At 48.6% G+C, this 24,480-nt stretch overlaps 1 protein-coding gene and 1 pseudogene across 3 annotated transcripts, besides 8 other annotated features; one reads left to right on the plus strand and one right to left on the minus strand.

Annotated features, from left to right (window-relative positions):
* The first annotated feature begins 1,504 nt into the window (after positions 1–1,504).
* CLEC3B (C-type lectin domain family 3 member B) lies at positions 1,505–11,273 on the plus strand. Of its 3 annotated transcripts, none has more exons than NM_003278.3 (3): positions 1,505–1,673; positions 6,029–6,127; positions 10,726–11,273. In NM_003278.3, the coding sequence occupies exons 1-3, from the start codon at positions 1,565–1,567 to the stop codon at positions 11,124–11,126; spliced, it is 609 nt and encodes a 202-aa protein (NP_003269.2). In that variant the 5' UTR covers positions 1,505–1,564; the 3' UTR covers positions 11,127–11,273. The 3 variants fall into 3 exon arrangements, with proteins under 3 accessions (NP_003269.2, XP_016862605.1, NP_001295323.1); NM_001308394.2 differs by lacking the exon at positions 1,505–1,673 and adding an exon at positions 5,345–5,439; XM_017007116.2 differs by lacking the exon at positions 6,029–6,127.
* Positions 1,885–2,386: an enhancer, noted in NCBI's record as "H3K4me1 hESC enhancer chr3:45068175-45068676 (GRCh37/hg19 assembly coordinates)". NCBI's record gives its function as "activates a minimal SCP1, AML or CMV promoter by ChIP-STARR-seq in primed H9 embryonic stem cells {active_cell/tissue: H9 hESC(primed)}" and the evidence as "EXISTENCE:reporter gene assay evidence [ECO:0000049][PMID:30033119]".
* Positions 2,387–2,886: an enhancer, noted in NCBI's record as "H3K4me1 hESC enhancer chr3:45068677-45069176 (GRCh37/hg19 assembly coordinates)". NCBI's record gives its function as "activates a minimal SCP1, AML or CMV promoter by ChIP-STARR-seq in primed H9 embryonic stem cells {active_cell/tissue: H9 hESC(primed)}" and the evidence as "EXISTENCE:reporter gene assay evidence [ECO:0000049][PMID:30033119]".
* Positions 9,649–10,298: an enhancer, noted in NCBI's record as "H3K4me1 hESC enhancer chr3:45075939-45076588 (GRCh37/hg19 assembly coordinates)". NCBI's record gives its function as "activates a minimal SCP1, AML or CMV promoter by ChIP-STARR-seq in naive H9 embryonic stem cells {active_cell/tissue: H9 hESC(naive)}" and the evidence as "EXISTENCE:reporter gene assay evidence [ECO:0000049][PMID:30033119]".
* RNU5B-3P (RNA, U5B small nuclear 3, pseudogene) lies at positions 9,720–9,791 on the minus strand (annotated as a pseudogene).
* Positions 10,178–10,247: an enhancer, noted in NCBI's record as "active region_19774". NCBI's record gives its function as "activates an Ori minimal core promoter by ATAC-STARR-seq in GM12878 lymphoblastoid cells {active_cell/tissue: GM12878}" and the evidence as "EXISTENCE:reporter gene assay evidence [ECO:0000049][PMID:35858748]".
* Positions 10,299–10,946: an enhancer, noted in NCBI's record as "H3K4me1 hESC enhancer chr3:45076589-45077236 (GRCh37/hg19 assembly coordinates)". NCBI's record gives its function as "activates a minimal SCP1, AML or CMV promoter by ChIP-STARR-seq in naive H9 embryonic stem cells {active_cell/tissue: H9 hESC(naive)}" and the evidence as "EXISTENCE:reporter gene assay evidence [ECO:0000049][PMID:30033119]".
* Positions 10,418–10,477: an enhancer, noted in NCBI's record as "active region_19775". NCBI's record gives its function as "activates an Ori minimal core promoter by ATAC-STARR-seq in GM12878 lymphoblastoid cells {active_cell/tissue: GM12878}" and the evidence as "EXISTENCE:reporter gene assay evidence [ECO:0000049][PMID:35858748]".
* Positions 13,187–13,236: a silencer, noted in NCBI's record as "silent region_14277". NCBI's record gives its function as "represses an Ori minimal core promoter by ATAC-STARR-seq in GM12878 lymphoblastoid cells {active_cell/tissue: GM12878}" and the evidence as "EXISTENCE:reporter gene assay evidence [ECO:0000049][PMID:35858748]".
* Positions 15,944–16,063: a silencer, noted in NCBI's record as "silent region_14278". NCBI's record gives its function as "represses an Ori minimal core promoter by ATAC-STARR-seq in GM12878 lymphoblastoid cells {active_cell/tissue: GM12878}" and the evidence as "EXISTENCE:reporter gene assay evidence [ECO:0000049][PMID:35858748]".

Here is a 24,480-nt window from a genome sequence, read left to right on the forward strand (position 1 = left end):
CACCATGAAGTTGCTCTTTTTCTCTCTGGAATGGATAAGTGTTTTGTGGGCAGATACTTTGAGGCTATGTAAACATCCCATTGAAGAACATCAGACTTTCAATGCGTTCCCTTACTTACTTATATCTGTGTGCACTGGTGGTTTCCCATCTGTTACTGTCACTATGTTGGTGCTCAAATTGTCCCTGATTCTGACCACTGAAGGCTCCTTCAAGCTGGCTCTGTGTCCTACTGACGTGTTCCCATTATTCATTAAGCACTTCCTTGTTTTCTGGCAAAACAACAAGTTCCGGGCTCATTTTCTGCACCCCACTCCTACTTCCCAGTGCTAGAATCAGCCGTTTCTGCAAGGTGCTCTGGTTCCTTTAGTGGAAAGTCATATTCAGAAGCCAGTATTCAGGTGCTAGGAGTGCTCCAGGCTATGCGGGGCTGGCTGCTCCAGGCCCCCCAGTGACTGTGGGGACTAGACACACACACATTTCCATCTATATATATGGACTTATCTTTATGTATTCAAGGCCACAAGGGTACACTGATCATTCCGATTTTAATCCCACACAACAGGATTCATTCCAGTTTTCTCTCCATATACATAACTTCCTTCTCTGACAATAGGAAACCTAACTCCCACTGTCTTCAGTAGATTTATTTGATCAGTATCCCTGTGTGTAACCAATCTCCCGTCTCTGCCACCAGCCTCTCTCCCACATGGATCCCCTCCTTGCCTCACTTGGACTCCAGCACTCCAGGCAGGGCCTTTGCTTTCCCCAGGATGCTCCCTCCACCCTGCTGGGCTCCCACACCCCACACCAGTCCACCCCTTGAGGGCACATTCTCCCCACATCCTCTCTGGTACCTCTGGGGCACGATGGCTTCTCCCTCCGCCACCTTTGCTATGCCCCACTTTGTGGCTTTAGGACAGGACTCAGGAGAAAGGGAAGACAAGAAGGGAAGGAATCCCTTGGATTTTTTAACCAAAAAATGCATCAAGTACATGGAGACAGAGCCACAAAATAATCATAACAAATATTCTAAACCAATCAGACAGCCAGCCCCAGATCACCCTATAAGGGGGCATTGCTACCCCGTGACAGCTGGGTAGCCTGGGCAAATTCCCTAACCTCACCGAGCCTCAATTTCCTCAATGGTAAAATGGGGAAAGGACAGTGCTTCCCTCGTGGTTTGGGTGTGAAGCTTCTGTGAGTTAATGTTAGTGAACAGCCAGCCTCAGCCCCTACCCAAGGTAGCTGCTCCGCAGATGTGATGACAACCACCGTGTGTTTCTCAGAATCCTAGGAAATAAGGGCTTCTTTCTAGAAGGCAGGGCCAGGATGCTGCGTGGGTGTTCCCTGGCAGAGAGGCTCTGTGGCCCTCAGGACTTCATCCTTCTGCAGGCTTGTGTGTTTGTTTTATTTTTTTGGCACGCCTGCAGCCAAGTTGGGGAGGGTTTCCTGGACAGAGGTCCTTTGGCTGCTGCCTTAAGACGTGCAGCCTGGGCCGTGGCTGTCACTGCGTTCGGACCCAGACCCGCTGCAGGCAGCAGCAGCCCCCGCCCGCGCAGCAGCATGGAGCTCTGGGGGGCCTACCTCCTCCTCTGCCTCTTCTCCCTCCTGACCCAGGTCACCACCGAGCCACCAACCCAGAAGCCCAAGAAGATTGTAAATGCCAAGAAAGGTAAGGAGGGGGACAGAGCCCTGTGCCATCTTCCAGGGAGCAGGTCCCCCTCTCCTTAGTGTGTCCTCATGCTCCTTTCCTTCATTTTCCTCCTTTTGAGTCATCTAGGGAACTTGAGTAAAGTGGGCTTTGGGGCTTGGGGGAGTTCTCTCATAGCAGAGTTGGTTGTCAGAATCATAAGAATCCCTGACCCTTAGAGTTGGGAAGAACCTTCCAGATCATCCAAACTGATCTTTGCTCTTCTCTCCTCCCCTCATCCCCAATATTTTAAAGAAACCAAACCTTTGGCCTGGGAGTCTGGCAGCGCTCAGCCCTTACCAGGGAGAGCTGCACAGGCTGGGCTTTGGAGTCTTCCAACCTGTTTTCTCAACTGTAAAATGGGGACAGTGGTATTTGTTCAAAGACTTCTCATGAAGATTTTATGATACAAAATATATAAAGGCACCTCACTTGTTGCTTGATGCACAGGGAAAAGAAAAAGAAGAAGAAATGAATTCTCATTTCTGTAGCATATCACAGCCTTCAGGAAATAAATGTAACTCAGACTAGTCCACCAGAAGCAGCTTTGCTCTGCTTTGTAGCCTCTGGGGATTGGGGTGTCCCTCGGTTGCTTTGGCTACAGCAAGACTTGCCCTTGCAGCCCCGCCTGCAGTGAGGTCACCCCAGGCTGTGTTGAGACAACATCAGTGGAATGTCATGGCAATGGACGGGGCTGTCACCCCCCCAGGGAGCAGAGGCTAGAAGAGAGTCCAAGGGGATGAGGGTGGGGACTGAGGCAGAGAAACAAGCAGCTAGGACCAAGGGCACAGAAAAGGAAAGAAGGGGCTGTGGGGGCCTCCCTTAGGCCCTCCCGGGGCTCTTCATAAATGGACAGTTGCCCACTGGCCAGGAACTAGTGCAGTGCATAAAGGGACATCGGGGCCATGGGGCCTCACAACACTGTGACAAAGAATGGGGCAAATCTGGCTGCTGATAAAAAAATCATCTTCAAGATTCAGTTTACAAAGTGAAAAAAGAAACATTCAAAAGAGAATGAGTATGATGCTGACATTTGCTTTGAAAAAGGGATTTATATAATAATACATTTTTACTTGTATGTGCATAAGTTCTTTCTGGAAGGATCCACAAGAGTGAGTAACAGTGATTACCTCTGGGAAGAAAAACCAGGGGCTGGGCGCAGTCTCAACTGGGAAAGAAACCAGCTTTTTGAACTGTTTGGATTTTAAAAAATTATGTGTGTATATTACCTTCCACAAAATGTTCATTTAAAAAGAGAAGACAATACCGTGCATAGTTACGTCTATGAGCATTAGCCAAAATCGCCACCAAGGGAGAGCCTTTGTAAAAGATGCAGCTCCAAAGGCAAATCATAGAATTTTTGAATGTGGAAAACCATCGCCAGCTTCTCAAGTTTACCAAAGATTCAGTATTAATATAATTATGTAAATCTTTTTAAACTCATGTTAAAAAAAAAAGGGTCAGAGCACGTGATGCCTTGGTTCTCTCCAGCTGTCACACTTGAACCCTGGCCCTATGTGGTCTCCATAGAAGGGGCCCCTGGAGTTCCAGGGCTACAGGCCAACAGAACAGCCACCCAGGCCCTGCCTCTCGCTGAAACCCATGGCAGTCTCCCGCCCACCAACATGGCAGGCACTTATAGAGCTCTTTCTCCACGTAGGCACCAGTCTATATGCTGGACACACAGCAGAGAAACACCGTCTCTGCTCTTAAGACATGAACCATGGTGGTTCTCACTCAGGCATCAACATCATCTGGGAGATACATTAGAATCCAGGTGCCTTGGCCAGGCGTGGTGGCTCAAGCCTGTAATCTCAGCACTTTAGGAGGCCAAGGTGGGAGGATCGCTTGAGGCCAGGAGTTCAAGACAAGTCTGGCCAACATGGTGAAACCCTGTCTCTACTAAAAATACAAAAATTAGCTGAGTGTGATGGTGTACACGTGTAGTCCCAGCTACTCAGGAGGCTGAGGCAGGAGAATTGCTTGAACCTGGGAGGTGGAGGTTGCAATGGGCCGAGATTGCACCACTGCACTCCAGCCTGGGTGACAGAGTAAGTGAGACTCCGTCTCAAAAATAAATCAATAAATAAAATAAAAGTTAAGAATTCAGGTGCTTGGGCCCCACCCCTGGAAATGCTGGTTTAGGGATCTTGGTGAGTTTAGCATCTGCCTTTTCCACAGGTCTTCAGGGATTCCTAGGAGCAGCCAGGAATGAGAATCTCAGGGGCAATCTAGTTGCAGGGCTGGTGCCCAAAAGTACGGGAGAAAGTCCAAAGAAGGGACGGTCATGCCAGAGGAGACCAGTTGGTGCCAGGGCCAAGAGGGGGAGAGCAAGTGGCAGGACTGGCAAAGGAAGGGAATGCCAGCATATGCTAAGTCCTTGTCCTGGCCCTCAGGGTGGGTGAGAAGCGGGGAGCCTAGAGTACTTCTGGGAGCTCATCTGTTCTTGGGGCCACATGGTCACACCTGGCAGGGAAGCTCCGGAGGGAAGGATGGCCTCATAGGAGTCACAGGCCTTTAGAACAGGGAACTGGGGGAACCTGGAGGGCATCCATTCTAACATCACGCAGAAGGAACCTGAGGCTCAGAGAGTGGGCCAGCACAAAGGCCTCCTGACTCTGCCCAGGGCCGTAGAGACACCTACTCCCACAGCTTCCTCAGGTGGAGCTAATGAGAGTAGCTTCCTGTACCTTGGACAGTCCCTGGAGGAAACTTTGCACATATGGGCACCTTGGTGCAAATTACAAAAGGTACCTCCTCTAAACTGACAAATTATAGAAAGGCATCTCTTTTTCTGGTCTGACCCACTCTAGCCAGGGCAAGGCTTAGGAGACAAATGGGCCTTCATGTGTCCCTCAGCAGAATGCCCTTCTTCAGTGCCCCCTTGCACAGCCTCACATGGCACCCTATGCTGGTACATCACGTGACTGGGTACAGTGCTGCTATAACTGGTGGAGGCAGTCTCTGTGTGAGGCACACATGACCTCAGGCTGGTTTGCCAGCCCCAAACTCTCCCTTTTTTTGCCTTGCTCATCAGGGTGTTTTTGCTCCAGTTTGGTAAGTTACATCGCTAATTTCTATATACACAACCATGTGTCTTGCCTGTGATTCTTCTGCAAAGGCACCTTATGGGTGGACGAAGGCTCTGATCTCACTCTTTGTGAGTGTGGAATGTATGCAGACACAGCCAAATGGACCATTAAAGTGTTTCCCCACCCACTTCCCCAAGCTGAGTGCAGCCTTTCCTGAAGCCCTGGTGTTTCAGAAAGACCAGGGTCCGCCCCAGGAGCTCTAAACTTACACACACATAGAAATATGCTTCCCGGCACCCTCAACTTACACACACATAGAAATATGCTTCCCCGCCTTCCCCTGCTGACTCTTACATGACTGGCTGCCAGCAGGACAGCTCCTGTTAGGAATCCGTTTGTGTGCCATGGGGAAGGTGGGGAAGAGCATGGCTTCAGAGCCATGTGCACCTGGGTTCCAGGCCAGCCCTGCCAGCTGGGGCTCTGCCATCCTCGGCCAGTTGGTTTAGGGCAGCCTGGGTTTCCTCATGGTGAAATGCTGGTGGTACAGAATGACACGTTACCTGTGTCATAGGGTTGATTATGAGCATCACATGGGGTGACATGTAGAACGGCTTAGCCCAGAGCCTGGCCTCCTCTGTAAGAGTGGAAAACCTGGGTTCCTTCTGCCCTCATCTTATTAGTAGCTGTGATGGGCACACACTCAGCCAAGCACTGAGGTAGGCAGCTCTGCGTTTCAGTTCTCTTAGTCTTCTCCAGAGTCCTAGGAGGTGGGGCTGTCATCATCCACTTCATACATGAGGGAACCAAATCCAGAGAGGCTGAGCAGCTCGCCCAGGCCACCCGTGTCTGTGGCACCTCCAAGCCCTGCATATGCGTGCCCCAGGCTGGAGTGCCTGCTGGTCTGTGTCGCATTCCTCCAGCCTGGGGAAGTGAACCTGGGGGCTTCTTGAGGGCTCCTGCTGTGCTTCCTGTGCTGTTCTTCCCTGGAGCTGAAAAGGTAGCTGGGTGGTGGGGGATCACTGAAGCCTGTGCCTACACCCTCACCCCTGCCTCTGCTAATCCCAGCCCCATCTGATCCCCAGCAACAATCCCAAACAAATGCAGCACAGGAGCAAGTGAAGGATGGGCCCCCTGGCAGAAGTCACAAGTGGTTAATTAGACTACCACCAGCAAGGATAGAGAGAGAGAAAGTTTCCCAAGATATCAAGGTTGAGGGGAGTCTTTTCCTCTCATCCCTCTGCAGCTAAGGTAGGATCCTTCCTGCTCAGTCCCTGCCCCACCCTGACATATTTCCTCCTGCTTCAGATGTTGTGAACACAAAGATGTTTGAGGAGCTCAAGAGCCGTCTGGACACCCTGGCCCAGGAGGTGGCCCTGCTGAAGGAGCAGCAGGCCCTGCAGACGGGTGAGTGCAGGCAGTAGCCTCTCTGGGCAGGAGCGTCTGAGAGAAGGGCCCAGGCCAGCAGCCAGCAATGCTCTTCTCGCCTCCGTTCAGCATCAGGGTCCTGGCTCCATTAGTCCAGGCCTATGGGTGAAGGCACCAGGTTCAGGGAGCCCCACCTCTTTCTCTTGGGGAGATCCCCTGACACGTGTCTGCAAAACTCACCTGGATGTGTACGGCCAAATCTCTGGCCACAGCTGGGTGGTGTGGAAGTGGGGATGTCCCAAGAGGACAAAAAATTCTCCAACAAGAATCCACTACTGCCCACCAGAAGTGACCCTGGAGCGCTCGATGGGGCAGAGGTAGTGGCCCACCCTAGCAAAGCTCCCAGGAGCCCCTCACTCAGCTGGCCTCTGCAGCCCCAGAGAGCTCCACACTCCTGTGTGTCAGCAGCTTTGCTGACCCTGTCTCTCTTAATCGTAACTCTGCTGAGGTGGGATTTGTCAGCTCCATTTTAAAGATGAGCTGTCAGCTCCATGAAATGTCAGCTCCATTTTAAAGATGTGTCAGCAGCAACTGAGGCATAGACAGGTCCTGAACCTGGCTCATACTCACCTCGTTGGTTAGTTGACTCGTGGAAGAGCAAGAGTTGAATGGAGGCAGGCTGCCCAGTGCCAAGCTGGGCCTTGGTGTTCCTGGCTCTGCACTAGCCAGCTGAGGGAGGGTGCACAGAATCACCAAGAACAGGGCCCAGGCGCATGGTAAGGTCATGCCCTCTGGCCAGCATACCTGGCAGCCTATTGTTTCTCACTCCCCATGTTCCTGTCATATAGTCTGCATTTTCCACATACCTCCGATTTACCTACCTTTATATGACCTCACCTTCCATTCTATGGAGAACACAGACTCACAATACTGATGACTATTTACATGTGAGCCCACTACATTCTGGCACTGTTCTTGATGCTTGATGCAGACTCACAATACTGATGACTATTTACATGTGAGCCCACTACATTCTGGCACTGTTCTTGATGCTTGATGCACGTTAACTCATTCACAGCACACCCGTGCAGTGGTCCTGTTACTACATCCTCACCCTTATTTTCCACCGAGAAGGACCTTGTGACAGCCGAAAGGAGCAGAGCCTCACTTAGCTCTGCTATGCTGCCCCTCGAGTTATCAGCTGGGAAATCACCTTGACTCCTCAGCAAATCTATAAACCACCCTGTGTCCACAGCCACTCTCTTACCTGTTGCTTTTGTGACCAAGGCCCATCCATCTGCAAGGCCTTCCCTTCCCCGCCTGCCTCCTCAGAAACCCCCAACAGCCTTCTCACCGGATGGTTTTACACACTCCCTCCCATTCATATGCTTTCCTTCAGCATTCACACTGCCATCCTTCTGCACTCCCACCACAGGGCCTTTGCATGTGCTGTTTGGGCAACCTGAATTGCTCCCCCAAGATCCACCTAATAAATGCCTCCAGCATTATCTTCTCAGGAGTCACTAATCCCTCATCTCAATCAGCTCCTCAGTTATAAGCTCTCCCAGAACAGTGTCCTTTCTTTTATCACACTGACTGCAGTCTGTAATGATACACTCATTTCCTGATTTGTGTCTGCTGCCTCCACTAGACTATAGTAAGCCCTGAGAACACAAGGGCCATGTTTGCTTTTCATTGCCCTTGTCTCTTCCACTACCCTGCCCAGCATAGTGCCTGCCACATAGCAACACTCAGTCAATCTCTGTTGAAGGAAGGACAAACATGTAACTTTGGACAGCTTGCTTGGCATGGCAGGTAGGAAGAGAGTGCTCGAGAAAGGGAGCATCTCCAGAGGTGTTTTTGACTTCATGTAATAGGAAACCTATCAGTGGCTTAAACAAAAAGTAAGTCTGCAAGTAGGTAGTTATAAGTTTTTGTTCAGAAGTTTCACCTCATGGTCTTCAGATGGCTGCCCCAACTCCAGGCATCATGAGTGCATTCAAGGCAAGAAGGAGGAAGAGTAGCCCAACCACATCTGTCTCATTTATAGGGAACGTAGTCTTCCACTTCCATCTCATTGACAAGAAATCTATCATATGGCCACCTGCAGCTTTAAGAACATCTGAGAATGCAAGAATGTAGCTTTTCCAGCCTCTATAGTGGAGGTGGACAAGAGAGAAGGGATTTGGAGGCAACAGTGCCTGGCACAGCGGGTATGTTTAGAATGAGCCCAGTGCCACTCTGAGCCTCAGTTTCCTCATCTGTAAGGTAGGCAGGGTAAACTCTAAGGTCTCTCTCATGTCTAAGCTCTGTGCTGTGCAAAGTCAATGTAACCCAGGCATCAACTGCCACCTGGGGTGAGGTAATGAGGTGGGGACCTCCCTGAAAAAAGTTCATGACATATGGAGGCCCAAAGCATGACATATGAAAGCCCCCATGTCTGCTGATTTCTAGGAAGCTGCTGGGCTTCTTGGGGCCTTCTCCTGTTCATTGTCCTCACAACCCAAAGATCACCTTTTCAATAAACCCACCCAAAGCATTGCAGAGCTCTGTTGACCTAACCAGAGTTGAAGGAATCAGGGGGCAACCTTTCCCTCCTCCAACCAGCATACACATGGGAGGTTCCCACCTGGTACATCTCTGCCAGGCACAAGGAGGCAGAGGTGATGCAGCCAGGGCCCTGCTCCCTGGGAACCTCAATATATTCATGGAATCACTTGAGCCCTTGAAAGCTGTGTAGGAATCAGAGAAGATAAAGAGGGTTGATTCCAAGCAGATGGCAGGGCAGGAGCAGAGGTGTGGAGGACTAGCATAAATCGACAGGATCATGAATAGACCAGAGCAACAAAATGTTGGCAGCAATGATAGTATCACGAGAAGTAGCATTGACTGAGGACTACCTATGTGTTGGAGGGAGGTTCAGGTGAGGGTCCTAGGAAGCAACTCTGAGATGGAGTTTAACCCACAGGAGACTTATCAGGAGATACCCTCAGGATCAACCCCTGTGCTAGGGAAGGGATGGAAGGAAGCAGGAGTGGGCAGAAGGAGAAGTCGAGCTGTACTGTGGTGCCACGAAAGCCTCAGCTGACTTCAGGAGCCCTGATGACGGGATGACCCTTCGGCACTGTCCTGAGTCGGGGCAAGAGGGCTTATGGGTCAGTCTTGGGTGTAGGCTGCTCTAGGGAGGGGCACGGCCTTGGAAGAGATGGCTGTCTTCTGCTGAGGCAGTCCCTGCAGGAGGCTGAAAGCTGAGGACTTTCTTCCTGCAGCATTCCTGGCAGCCAGGGCAGTGAATCCTTCATCCCCAACAAAAGTCTAGGTAGCACGTCAGTGTTACCAGCAGGAAGGAAAGGCAATGAAGGCCGCTTGGCTAAGCTGTAGGATAGCACGAGGTAGGACAGCTGACTTGGGGCAGAGTCTGTGGGTAGACACCTCTGTAATGCTTCAGGCCCCATGTTTAAAGTCGGTTGTGGTGTCAGATGCCCATGGGGACACTGGGATGCTGTCCATTGATATTTGTTGAGTGAAATGGAAGTAACTGAGTGGGAATGGATAGAGGGGAGTGCAGACATCCCCCAAAGTGGTGGGGTCACCAGCAAGAGGACAAATGCAGACATACACCTGTCTGTCAAGATATTCCTTTCCACAGAAATCTTTAGTAAAAGGTGAACGATTTATACGATCTCAGGAGAAATCAGAGTATGTCTAGATATTTCAGCTAGAAATCAAGCTGAAAATGCAAACTGCAAAACAAAAATAGATTTTATCCTCCTAACTTGACCAAATATGTGCCTTCATCACAACCTTTGGGGCCAGGCTCAAACTGAGAATTTGTGGACACCTCAGAGTCCCTTGCCTGATCGCCGGCCTCTGACCACAGCCTGTGCCCAGCACTTCCTGTCTTCTCTCTTGCAGTCTCAGCTCTATCCACTCAGCCCCACCCTACCAGCCCTCAGGAGAACTGACCCTGCAAAAGGCACTTGGCAGGCCCTGGAAGCTTGCTTGGGCTGTTTGGGTAGGGATTTGGGGCCCTGGGTACATGAAGTGTGGCCTAGGCTGTAGGTGGGCAGGTGCCCTGGCCCTGCAAGCTGCTTGATCTTAGGGAGGGGCATGGAGGAAGGAGAACCAGAGCAGGTGGCTGTGGCTGGGCTCCCTGGGAAGCTGACTCTGAGACAGAGCTAATTTGTTAGGGTGAGCCCTAGGAGCCACACATGTGGGGGCGGGGGGAAGAGGAAGTGGGCAGAGGGAGAGCTGAGCTGCAGTGCAGGCACCAGGCCAGCCTCTGTGACCCAAGGAGATGGGGTGGGTAAAGGCCAGAAATGACTGAGGTGGAGGCCTGGGAAGGGGTGTCAGCTGGGGCTGGGTGCTTCTGTAGCACAAGGGCTGCCTTTTCTCCCAGCCGCGGGAGCACCAAGACCTCCTGAGTGGGGATCTGGATCTGTACATTAGTGGCCACCACAGCCAGGTCCTCAAAGTGCATGAACCATCAGGACCCCTTTTGCCTGGGTCTAAGGGGCTGTCAGGACTGATGGGATAAACGGGATGGGATGGAGGACGGTGGGCTTGGCCTGGGCGGTTGGCTCTTTGCCTGGGGAACAGGGGGACCTTCGGTGACAGCCATTTCTCCCCACTCCCAGTCTGCCTGAAGGGGACCAAGGTGCACATGAAATGCTTTCTGGCCTTCACCCAGACGAAGACCTTCCACGAGGCCAGCGAGGACTGCATCTCGCGCGGGGGCACCCTGGGCACCCCTCAGACTGGCTCGGAGAACGACGCCCTGTATGAGTACCTGCGCCAGAGCGTGGGCAACGAGGCCGAGATCTGGCTGGGCCTCAACGACATGGCGGCCGAGGGCACCTGGGTGGACATGACCGGCGCCCGCATCGCCTACAAGAACTGGGAGACTGAGATCACCGCGCAACCCGATGGCGGCAAGACCGAGAACTGCGCGGTCCTGTCAGGCGCGGCCAACGGCAAGTGGTTCGACAAGCGCTGCCGCGATCAGCTGCCCTACATCTGCCAGTTCGGGATCGTGTAGCCGGCGGGGCGGGGGCCGTGGGGGGCCTGGAGGAGGGCAGGGGCCGCGGGAGGCCGGGAGGAGGGTGGGGACCTTGCAGCCCCCATCCTCTCCGTGCGCTTGGAGCCTCTTTTTGCAAATAAAGTTGGTGCAGCTTCGCGGAGAGGAGAGGCGCTGCAGTCTGTGCTGTGTCCGCGGGGCGGGGAGGAGGTCCCAGGAGCCGGTTCGAAAGCTCCCTCCGTGATGAAGTAGGCGAGAAGGGAGGAGGTGAAGGAGGGCGAGCTGAGCACACGCGCTTCATGCCACAGGAGGGTGGGAATGAGCGGAGGACTGAGGAGAGGAAGGAGGGAAAGAATAGGGAGATGAAAACGCCCCGGTCTGCTGCTAAGCACAGCACAGTTACCAAAGCCAGGAAACTAACACTGACACGATATTTTATTTACGTTACAGCTCTATTCAAAGCTCCAGGCTTCTTTTTGTAGAATCGTTTCCATCTGCTGGAATCCAGCATCGCCCCCACCCCCCGCCCCATTTCTAGGGGGATGCCCCCACTGCTGACCTCTCCTGCTGTAGATCTATTTCTGGGAGGCACTGACATGCTGACTCTTGCTATGGGGTCGGCGGGGAGTGGGGAGCTGGGCATTCCCCTTCTTCCTCAGGACATCCCGGGAGCCAAATACGACGGCCAGCACTGCCCGACCCGTGCGTCCTTTTCCTTCCCACTCTTCACAGAAAGCTGCTCAGGGGTCCAGGCGCAGGCATTTTAAATACGTTGTCTTATTTCACGTGATCCACCCAGGACAAGCTGTGCTATTATCACCATTTAAAATAAGCAAAGTGAGTTGAAACTCAGGGAGGTTTGGGGACTTCCACTGGTCCTGAAGCTGGTAAGTAGCAGAGCCGGGATTTAACCCAGGGCTGTTTCCAAAGGCCTTGGCCTTTCCACCACCACTGCAATGCTTGCTTCGTGTGGCCAGAACGTCACTGAAATAAAACATCAGAGAAGTGGCCCAGTGGTCCTCAGAGGCTGTTGGCCAGCTCTTGGCCTGACCTGGCCCACCCAGCCATCGTGGGCCTGGCTCTAGTGACCCCTCCTGGGGGAGTCTTCCTTATCCTTCAGCCACCGCCAGTGCTCCACTGTCTGGGCTTCTGCAGTAACTTTTTCTCTCTGGTTGTCTTCTAGTGTGTCTCGCCTTCAGTAATAATAAGTGGATGATAGTTTGATTTGATCGATTGAGATGGGGTGGTTGGGGGAGGCAGCTTACAGAGAATTATGTACGTACTTCATGCCAGGCAGCCTGTTCCTCATCATCACAGAAAGGACCTCTTGAAATTCAACAATTTCAACGATTGTTGGAGGAGGTGATGAGATCCATTGGCATAAGCCCAGAAACTGCTTCAGAAGAGTGATGTGGTATGTTCCAGACCCCTCAGCAAGCGAGAGGCAAAGCTTAGACTGAAATCTACATCTTGTAACTCCGAGTCTTGGATTCTTTTCATCCCTCACTCAGCTTCCTAGCGGGATATAGGTGAACAGGGTTTTGTTTTGTTTTGTTTTGTTCTGCTTTTTTTTTTGTTTTTTTTGTTTGTTTGTTTTTTGAGACGGAGTCTCCCTCTCTCGCCCAGGCTGGAGTGCAGTGGCACGATCTCGGCTCACTGCAAGCTCCGCCTGCTGGGTTCACGCCATTCTCCTGCCTCAGCCTCCCGAGTAGCTGGGACTACAGGCGCCTGCCACCACGCCCTGCTAATTTTTTGTATTTTTAGTAGAGACGGGGTTTCACCGTGTTAGCCAGGATGGTCTCTATCTCCTGATCTTGTGATACGCCGGCCGCGGCCTCCCAAAGTGCCGGGATTACAGGCATGAGCCACCAGGCACGGCTGAACAGGGTTTTTTTAAAGTTCCTGAACTGGGTGGCTGCCCACAAGAGGGCACTCATGCCTCTGCGTGTGAGTGTGGAACCTGGTCGACTGCTGTGACACTCTTTGGGAAGACAGTCGGCATTTTCCACTTCCAGCAGCAGGTGGCAGTATGGGCAAGAGTATCATCACCCATCTTTCATCTACCACCCATGTGCTTACATCTGGGCTGCTGAGATCTGCATACTTCGAATTGAGTATACCTGTCCTTCAATCTTGTCTTTACTTAAAATTCTGACATTTTGTTCACCATTTTTTGAACATTAATTCTGATTTTTAAAAAAATTTGCATTCAAGTATTATTTCTCTTGCTTACTGAGTTTTGGTATCCCCTTAAATTTTGTGCCCCAGGTGAATGCCTCACTCATCTCACTAGTCCCTGCCCTGCCTCAGAGGTACACACTTTGGAGAATTTCCCAGGGGTTATACAAACAATGATCGTTTTAAGTGACTCAGTTTCTATTACTCTTTTCTTTTGTATTACTCCTTACTAGAATTGAGCTACCTTGGTGCAGGCCTGGGGAACAGGCTTTCTTTCCCACCTCCTGTTTTGCAATCTCCCTTTTCCATTTTACAAAAGAAAGGCCAGCTCTTCACCCTTCCTGCTCTTACCATGGGGTGTGGCCTGGTGTGTAAAAATCCTTGGGGATGCCAAACAGAAGACGAATTGAAATCTTGGTTTAGGTGTTAAGTAAAAGGCCATGTGAAAAATCGTTTTGCAAACTTAGTGGTTTCTAATCCTTTGCCTTTAACCTCCAAGATGAGCTTAATCAAGTTCTCAGCTGATAGACCATACGAAGTAATTTCCAATGACAGAACACTTTTTCTTTTTAACAATTTATTTTATTTTACTTTAAGTTCTGGGTTACATGTGCAGAATGTGTAGGTCTGTTGCATGGGTATACATGTGCCACGGTGGTTTGCTGCACCTATCAACCCATCATCTAGGTTTTAAGCCCCGCATGCCTTAGGTATTTGTCCTAATTCTCTCCCTCCTGACAGAACACTTTTGACCTTTACCTTAGAAGCTCAAGGACTAAGTGACACTGCTATAACAAAACTCCTTTCAGTCTCACCAACTTACTTATCTGAACAAAGTTTCTCAACATTAACAACTCTAAAAGTGAAAAATAGGAATCTTATTGATGCTGAATCCTGCTGTATTCTGCTAGATATGTGAGCCAATTTTTAAGAACTCTATTCATCTGATTAAGAGTAGTGTTTAATTGTGTTTATAAAAATATGTCATAGACCTGTTCTGATTTGATCAATTGTGCTAATGGTAATTGTGTTAGGGGAATGCTAGAAAACTAAGTTGCAGGGGCACTGGCCTAAGCCCTTTCTTGGAGAACAGTGCTGCCCTCGGCATCTGTGAGGATGGCCAAGCAGGAGGAGGTGGTTTCTGGGAAGGATCCTTCTGTCAGCTCTTGGCCTTCACTAGTGTGTGGGAGCCATGTGCACAGACCTGGCTGAGTCTTGCTCTCTTCTCCTCACTCCACCACCTCTGCTGTGCCTGTTCCTGTTCCTCCTTTCCCTTCTGGTCATTCCTTCACCCTTCCTCACCCCAGCCCATCCCGGCCAAGGGGAGGAAGAGCTGGAAGGAGGCAGTACAGATGGAGACCCTCCGTGTGAAGAAAGGGGTGCATGGGAGACCTGAGGCTGGTCCTGGCAGTTCTGGCTGTGGGACCCTGGAGAAGGCCTGTGGGGCATCTTGGCCCCCAGTTTCTTCATCCGCAAAATGAAGTTTGGATTAGATGATCTCTAAGACTCCTGAGTTCAAGATTCTACCCACTGTTCTCAGGAAAGTTTTTGTAGAATCCTTTCCAGATAAGAAAGCTATTTTGTAGAATGGAAATGGTGGCTGTTTCCTCTGCCCATCAAGGCTCATCCCCTTCACTGACTGTCTCATTTTCTGCAGTGACTATTGGCCATTGCTATCTCTTGAATCCCAAATGTGTACACGTTCAGATGCCTGGTAGACACCACCACCTAGAAGCCCTTAGGCACCTATGTCAACATGTCCAAAAGGGAACTCAGGGTCTTTCCACTCAAATCTGCTCCTCTTCCTGAGTTTACCATCTCTGTGAAGATCCTCACCTGCCCAGTTACCCAAACGCCAAACCTGTGGGGCATCAAAGGTGACTTAGTGTCTGTCTTGAGACACTTGAGATCCAAGTAATTACCAGGACTCTATGATTTTTGCTTCCCAAAGAACTCTCTGATCTGTTCCCTCTCCTCCAATTCCATTGCTGTGGGGCTCAAGTCTCCTGCTTGAACCATTGCAAATAACAGTCTTACTGTTTCCGTAACTCCCCCAGGTCTCTCCCACCCACCATAAACCATGACCTTTGCTGCATAAGCACTAGTTGTATGGGAGAGAAAGGCTGGTTCAGGCCTCGGTTGGAGCTGGCCCATGGAAAGCAATCTTCTCTTCCATGCGCAAACATGCACATCTTTGCCTCATCCGAAAACACTGCTCTGCTGATGTGGCCCTAATGCCTTAGACCCCCAGGTGACACTTTTTCCTTTGATTTTGGCTTTGCACAGATAAAAAGGAGATATTAATAAAAACAAAACTAACAATGTTTGCACTGACCCCAAAGCCCCTCGCCATGAGCTGGGCAACATTTAATATTCATAAACCTAGCAGGGAGGTATTACTAAACTTATTTCATAATTGAGGAAAATGAGGTATAAAGATAACTTTTGTGAGAACATTTAGTGATGGGCCTGGAATTTCAGCACAGGTCTGTTGCGTTCCAAAGCCCACATGCCATCTGCTATATAAATCAAGTCCTTCCTGGATCTTGAAGAAAGTTTTAAGATTTTCTTGATGTGATTGTGAAAGATGTGTAAAGGAGAGTTGATAGTGATGTGTATTGATGTGTATTTGTGATTGGTGGTACAGCCTCCTGTAAAAACACATTTTCCACTCAGATTTTTTAGGGCTATTCTGAGGCCTAATGGTAAGCTCTAGCTCACCTGCTTTTCATGGGTGACTCATCTATGAGCATGGTTTATGAATCTTTCAAGCTGAAAATCATGGCACAACCCACAAAACAACTAACCTTTTTCTCCACTAGAAGGCACTGTTGTTTCATGCAATGTGAGAACACAGCCAGGGGAGAAACATCAATGCAATCTTTATTTTTTTATTTTTATTTTTTTTGAGACCGAGTCTCACTCTGTCGCCCAGGCTGGAGTGCAGTGATGTGATCTCGGCTCAATTCAACCTCTGTCTCCTGGCTTCAAGTGATTCTCCTGCCTCAGCCTCCCTAGTAGTGGGGATTACAGGCGTGCTCCACCATGCTTGGCTAATTTTTGTATTTTTAGTAGAGACAGGGTTTCACCATGTTGTCTTGAACTCCTGACCTCAGGTGATCCATCCACCTCGGCCTCCTAAAATGCTGGGATTACAGGCATGAACCACAGTGTCTGGCCCAATGCAATCTTTAGAAGAAGAAACTGAGGTACAGGGAGGCTAAATGACCAGCCATGGTCACACACCTTGCTAGAGAATGAGCCCAGGAGTCTCACTTTTTTAGTAGGAAGTAGCTTTTTGCAAACCATTTCTCCAAGTCAACACCTGGTAAGTATTGAGTGCCTACTATGCACCAAGCACTCTGCCTGGAGCCTGCTCTTGAGTTGTTGTTTACCACCTGACAGGACACTCGGCATTTTTAAGAGCTCAAAGACAAATGGATGGAGCTGCTTTTGAGAGTAGCTCTCCTGGTTTGCACTGTTGAGAAAATTGGACAATAAGGTAGGAAAATGCTTTTTGGATGAGGACAGGCAAGCCACACAGCTAGGCCAAAGGCAAATTAGGAAACTAGGGCTTCCTCTAACCTCTAGGGTTTTCTTAAACCAGGTTGTCAGTGGCAGTGACACTAGGTCAGAAAGAAACTCTAGATTTAGATTCCAGCTCTGCCACCTTCTAGTCTTGTGGCCTTGGAGAAGTCACACTGTTTGAACTGTGGTTTCTTCATCTGCATGATTTGAAATGGGAGGAGCAGCAGAGCCAAGTTCACAGACATGAAAGCTGAAGACAAGTTTCTTAGCCTCTCAAGTCAGCCATGGCTGGTTTATCTGTGGTTACTGTATCACTTCAAATCACCTATGAATGATTCTCTCCAAGGCCATTAGTGAAGGCAGCAGAGAAGGGCCTGGAGTCCACATCTGTTTAGCTACCAGATACTCTGCTTCCACGAGCCAGGCTAGCTTTCTATGATGAGAGATGTGCACGGGGAGGTGAAGAACAGATCATCCACTGGGAACCACAGTGACCCAGGCTTAGGATCACTCTTTCTGAGGCTGTTTTCCCATCTGGCAGGTGGGCTTATTCCCTCCCTCACGCTGCTGTTGTGGACTACACCTGTGTAAAGGCTCTGCCCTGCTGCTTGGCACACAATTATGAAGATTGTGGAACAATGGTACCGATGAAAAAGCTTTGGAAACGAAACTCCCCTACATAAGAGATAACAAAAAGCATGACTTTACCTGGGTAGGAAAAAACCACAGTGAGCTCAGCTGTGACCTAGTTCCTTATTATACAAGAAAGACAATTCTCTAGGGAAGATAGTCTGGCAATGCAGTTGGCTCTGAACTAATAAGGATCTGGCCAAATTGAAAGTTAGGTCAGTGGTTCTCAGGCCATGCCAGACAGTAAAATCACCTGAAGTACTTTCTAGAAAACCCAATACCCTGGCTACACTCTAGACTGGTTAAATCAGAATCTCTGGGGAGCAGAATCAGGCACTGGTAGTGTTTAAAGCTCCCCAGGTGATTCCAAGATGTAGTGGTTGGGAACCAGACTTATGTGAAGCCAGCTGCCTCCTAGGTTAGGCTTTTGGAAAAAAACTCATCAGCCCTAGAATATCTCTTCCCATTTCTTGAGTCTTCCTCAAGAAATTCCTACCACTCTAGCTATTGAGCAATGGTACCATGCACACTAACCAGGTTTGGTGACAATCAGATTGGTCGTTTTAAATTGATTTTAACAAGAAGCAGAGGTTGGAGTTGAAGAACTTAGTGTAATCAGTTAATTTCAGTAGGAAGTAGGCATGCTTATCAGCTAGGATTAGATTTGGTTTAAAATCCAGAATAACCGGGACTTAGCCAGGTATGATGGCCCACTCCTGTAATCCCAGCTACTCAGGAGGCTGAAACAGGATGATTGCTTGAGCCCAGGAGTTTGAGACCAGCCTAAGCAATATAGCAAGACTCTCATCTTTAAAAAGAAGAATAATAAAATAAAATATATTAAAAAAATAAAAACAGAGACTTAAACAAGACAGAAAACTTGAGCCAGGTAGTCCAGTGCTGGTCTGGCCACTTCATGGTCATTGGAGATCAAAGTTCCTTCTATTTTTCCACTCTACCATCCTAGCATGGAGCTTCCATCTTTGAGGTCACCTCAGGGTCCATGATGGCTGCTGGAGCTCCAGCCATTATTATCCCCACTTCAGAAAGGAAGAATGGGTAAGAAAGGTCGAGTCAGCTTCCTTTTTTTTTTTTTTTTTCTTGAGATGGAGTTTCACTCTTATTGCCCAGGCTGGAGTGCAATGGCGTGATCTCAGCTCACCACAACCTCTGCCTCCCAGGTTCAAGCGATTCTCCTGCCTCAGCCTCCTTAGTAGCTGGGATTACAGGCATGCGCCACCATGCCTGGCTAATTTTGTATTTTTAGTAGAGGCGGGTTTTCTCCATGTTGGTCAGGCTAGTCTTGAACTCCCGACCTTAGGTGATCTGCCCGGCTCGGCCTCCCAAACTGCTGGGATTACAGGCATGAGCCACCGTGCCTGGCCTCCAGTCAGCTTCCTTTAAGGAGTGTTCTCTTTTCCTTATATCTATCGCATAGGCCAGAACTTTTTCCAGTGTGTAGCTGTAAGGAAGGCTGAGAAGTGCAATCTTTTAAGTAGTTACCTTGACACCCAAATTAAATTAAACTCTTTAAGGAAAGGGCAAATGGGAAGCAACTAGAAGTTTGTGTCATGGAGCCATTGCAGACCCAAAGCCTGAATGTTGGAGGGAACTGGAAACTAGGGGGCAGGAGAATTAAAAGATCTTGAAGACTAAATGATGACTCATCCGTCTGGTTCCCAAAAGCTTGCTCCTATGAGTCTTTCAGTAGAGGAAGAATGTTTTCAATTGTGCGGCTGGGTTAAATCCTAGTTCCTTTTCAACAAATTCCTAGTTCCTAAGCATGGCTTTCTCAGCCTTTGCTTTGGAATTAGCCCTCTCAAGAGGCCTCTTCTTAAAGAGCATGAACCTAGGAGAGTGCTATGCCCCTAAGTAGCTTCCTACCTGCCTATTCCTGCATGGTAGGATCATTGATTGCTGGCTCTGTGACTCTGTGGCAGAGCTTGACTAAACTTTGCACAGCTTTTTTATTCTCCCACTCCCTTGGAGAGTTAGTTGCACCCTTTTACCAGTCATGTCCCAGTAGGAAACAGATTCCAACTCAGTTCAAAAGACTGTAATGAGGCCGGGCCTGGTGGCTTAAGCCTGTAATCCCAGCACTTTGGGAGGACAAGGTGGGCAGATCACCTGAGGTCAGGAGTTTGTGACAAGCCTGGCCAACATGCTGAAACCCCATCTTTACTAAAAATACAAAAATTAGCTGGGCATGGTGGCACGTACCTGTAATCCCAGCTACTTGGGAGGCTGAGGCAGGAGAATCACTGGGACTCAGGAGACAGAGGTTGCAGTGAGCCGAGATCGCACCACTGCACTCCAGCCTGGGCAACAGAGTGTGATTCTGTCTCAAAAAAAAAAAAAAAGACTGAAAGGATTACAGGCAGTCCTCAATTTATACAGTTCTGATATGCTTAAATATCAATGATCATGTTTTAGTTAAATAACACAGTCCCCCAACCAGATAGTTCAAATTTCAGCTACATTGTTATACTGGTAAAGTATAATTTTATTTTATTTTATTTTTTATTTATTGAGATGGAGTCTTGCTCTGTCATCCAGGCTGGAGTGCAGTGGCATGATCTCGGCTCACTGCAAACTCTGCCTCCTGGGTTCAAGTGATTCTCCAGCCCCAGCCTCCTGAATAGCTGGGACTACAGGCACATGCCACCATACCTGGCTAATTTTTGTATTTTTAGTAGAGATGGGGTTTCACCATGTTGGCCAGGCTGGTCTCAAACTCCTGACCTCAAGTGATGTCCCCCCCTCGGCCTCCCAAAGTGCTGGGATTACAAGTGTGAGCCACTGCACCTGGCCCCTTGCTAAAGTATAATTTCACTGCTAACTCTTCAGGCCACACATCACTAACAGATATGCTGCATGATCAGTGACCCACCACATTGCTTCTTTCAAAGTGTATTGGTGACTGGGCACCATGTGCCTGTTATTCAGCTCATCCACTGGCAGCACAGTGTGTAGTTGTGTTGCACTTTGTCTTCTGGTGAGAAATTCATGTGACAGTTTACAAAAATGGATAATTGAAAGAGGGAACTGACTAATAAAGATAAAAATGCAGCAAAGAAATGCAAAGTGAGAATGATGGAAGTGAGGTTTGTGTAGAATATAAATGGAGTTAGAAAAGAAAAAGCTGACTGTGGGAAGGTGGATGCTGCTGCTGTTTGAAGTTCTGGATATGCAACCAGAGGAACGTAGTGACCGTGAGCTTATCTACATAAATGACAACAGTGCCTGTGGCAAAAAGGATAAAGATGTCCTGGAGGAAATGATGCCAGCAAAAAACCACGAAAAGGAATTCTTAGAGATATTTTGTGACATTGAAAGCAAGAAAGATAAAATGTAAGAACTAATCCAAGCTTGAGAAGGAGGATGACAATTTTCCGGGAATAGAAAAGATACCCACTGAATCGAAATCTATATATAATGGGAAGGAAGTGGCAAGCACTGTCCAAACGGTTCTCGGTAAGATTTTCACAAAGAAAACACTTTAATTTCCAATGTTTCTAATGTTTTCAATTAGTGTATTTAATATCAATTTTTGCGACTTTTTCTCTTACTGACAGTAAGAAAGTTTAATGTTTTGACAAACATTTTTGAAAGGTCAGAGGACAATCGTCCTCTTCCCCATCGATTATTAAGATTGTTTTGCATGGTTTCAGCTTACATGGCCATTTTACAGTCCTAGACTACTGTGCAAAGTGAGTGCTTCCCATACTTACACAGCTCTGGGTACTATTCAGCAAAACGACAAGGGATATTAAGGCATTCAGAGGCTGGCCACAGCGGGAAGTACCCTGTCAGGCAGAAGGCCACAGGAGGAAATAATGCTGCTGGAGCCATAGCCGGTCCACGCAATAAGCGATCTCTCGGTGGAGGACATAGCCATAGACAGAAAATGCAGCAAAGCACACAGAGGAGACTGGGAGGAAAGAGCCCAGCACCTGCCTCTGTACAACCTCTTAACTCTTGCAGGTGCTTTCCACTGGGGGAAGCCAGCTGGAAGCCAGCTAGCCGTGGGTCCGGGCAATGCAGTCTGGTCAGACTCCCAGGGCACAGAGCTGGGTGGAGGTGGATGGAGCCCAACTGGGGGCTTACATACACTTAACATTGTACTTTCTTTCTTTCTTTCTTTTTTTTTTCAGACAGAGTCTCACTCTGTCACCCAGGCTGGAGTGCAATGGTGCAATCTTGGCTCACTGCAACCTCCACCTCCTGGCTTCAAGCAGTTCTCCTGCCTCAGCCTCCTAAGTAGCTGAGATTACAGGCACGGGCCACCACGCCTGGCTAATTTTTGTATTTTTAGTAGAGATAGTGTTTCACTATGTTGTCCAGGCTGGTTTTGAACTGCTGACCTCAGGTGATCCGCCTGCCTCCCAAAGGGCTGGGATTACAGGAGTGAGCCACCGCGCCTGGCCGTACCTTCGTGTTTATGTCCATGTCCTGCAGTTGAGGACAAAGCTATCTGCATCTCTGAGTACCACTGATAAAGACAAAGTAAGCAGAGGTGGAATCCAGGTTTCCATGCTCTCAATGTAGGGCTCCTAACATCTCCAGTGATCCAGCATCCCCTTGGAGCTGCTTACCAGCTTGACTAGGACAACACACAGAGTTAGAGGTCAATGAGGAGGAAAAAAATGTCAACAAAATCTTTCTTCCTGGCCCCCCAAAAGTGTTTTGGGGCTCTAAAATACAAGCATATGCTTCACATGTTTCCAGTGAACATTTTCCATGTCAAATATACCTCTGGCTTTTTTTTCTTTTGTCCTGGCAAGCTGTGTTGCTTCTGGATTTTTAATACTCAAACCCCACAAAATGTATCTCTCAATGTTTTTCATCCAGTGTTTTTAAGAAAAATTTCTATTGACAGTCCACAAGACTCAGTGGATTTTAATCAAGATAGGCTGGGAAAGTTTCAGATTACATCCCAAAGACAATGGTTAGAATGGCAGGGCAGGTGTGGGTACACCTCTTTCAGATGTTGCTGTATAGGAAGTGTAGTGCTTGGAATCGAGTTTTACGGCATTTTACTTTCTGACATGATAGTTTCTGTAACTTACATAAGGGATTTGTGTGTGTGTGTGTGTGTGTGCGTGCGTGTGTGAGTGTTTTAGTTACATATTTGGAAATCTACTGGGGACTTGGGGCATTCATTAAGCCAGAGTTTACCATTTAAATAGGACAGAGGGTGCTATTCTGCAGAATGCTTGATTTCCATGAATGGTCTACCATTAGGAGATGGCTGTATGTTGCCCTGTTGCTCTGGGGCTGGTTCAGGGATAATCCTTTCCATATGAGAGCTCCCAGTCTCAGAAGTCTCCCCACTAAGCCTATCTAGAATGCCCCTCAGTGCCCATTTAAGTCACCTGTGCTGCTGGTTTCCTTGCAAGAGGACTAAGAGGATCAGCCGGGCAGTGTTTCAAAACCTCGCCACTATTGGCATTTGGGGCTGGATAATTCTTTGTTGTGGGGGCTGTCCTGGGCATTGTAGGATGTTTTCCAGCATCCCTGACCCCTGCCCGCTAGACGCCAGCAATACCCTGCTTCAGCTGTGATAGCCAAAAATGTCTGCAGACCAGTCCAAATGTCCCCTGGGGGGAAAAATTACCCCCAGTTGAGAAGCTGAGAACCACTGAGGTAGAGGGTAGCTGCAAATTTCCTCACAGAAAGGTGCCATGAAAATGTAGTAGTTGAAGTAGAATTTATTTATTTTTGATGCTTCTAATTGCAATTCTGTTACTTAACATGACATAAAGAAACCATATTTCCCAAAGCAAAATTCAGAATGCACAACAAAAGCTTTTTTTAAAAAACAAAAACAAAGACTCTTGTACGAATGTATTTACTCACCAGCAGTATACAGTTTAAGGCACATTTGTATAGGGGTTTTTTTCTGCTCTCTTCCGCCTTTATCCTTCACAGGTATTTCCCTTAATCAATCTCTTGTATGTTTAATTCCTTCTTGGCCTCCGCTTCTAGGAGAACTTAAATGGATTCAAAGACTCAAAAAAAGTGGTAGTGGCAGCTGAAGCCAATATGGCCATGGAGGGCACCACTCAGATCCCTTTAACAGAACCTGCTGCAAGGAGCAGAGTGGACTGACAGCCTTGGCTGCCACCCCTAAGGACACTAGACCAGACTTACCCCGGCTGCCTCTGGGCAGTGACTGAGTACGTAGGAGCGTTTGTGCTGATCCATTCCTACCCAACGAGGGTGACTCCTCTCATGGAGAATTTTAGCTTGGGAACTCCCCAGCAATCTGGCCAAGATGTTCTCAGAACTGTACTGCAGTCTGAGGTTCTTCCACCTAGCCTTTCCTGCTCTCTCTTTTACACAGGTGTGGGACCTGTGTTGTGGAGGGCTCTCCCTGCCTATTCCTGCTCCCTTGAACCCTGGATCCTTCACAGGTGTTGCCCCCAAAACATCTCTTACACTTCTAATCCCATCCTGTCTGCTTCTCAGAGAACAGACAAGTAATGAATTCCCTTCACTAAAACAAAATTATGCAAAATATAATATGTATAATAAAATTATACAAGCTATAACAAGGTAATGGAATAATTATACTATTAAAATCAGAGATGTACCAGAAAATCGGCATGTACAATTACCTTAGCTTTGCTTCCCTTAGATGTGTTCTCTTAGGAAAGGATTGCATTCCTAAGAGAATTATCTGTATTAAGGAACAGGCACTCCATAATTGCCTTCCCCACCCCTCCACCTGGAACTTTCTCTAATAATGTAGAAGACACCTGCACACCAATGGTATCATAATCCTTTTTCCTGACGTGGCTTTGGATTCCATTCTATCCAGATAGAGGAATGGAACCCCGGATCCATTCAGTTCACAGAGACACGAATCCTCTAAGCTAAGATGTCATTTTACCCTCACCCCCAAACAAACCTGCTTCCTTGTTCTTGTCTATCCCTCCTCTTCTTCTTCCTCTTCAAATGTGATGACCATTATTCAACATGAAGATATGAGTCTGGGATATAGAGCAGGCTGAAACTTAAGGACTGAGGCTTTGCC

Source organism: Homo sapiens, chromosome 3, assembly GCF_000001405.40.
Source record: "Homo sapiens chromosome 3, GRCh38.p14 Primary Assembly".
Classification (NCBI taxonomy): Eukaryota; Metazoa; Chordata; class Mammalia; order Primates; family Hominidae; genus Homo; species Homo sapiens.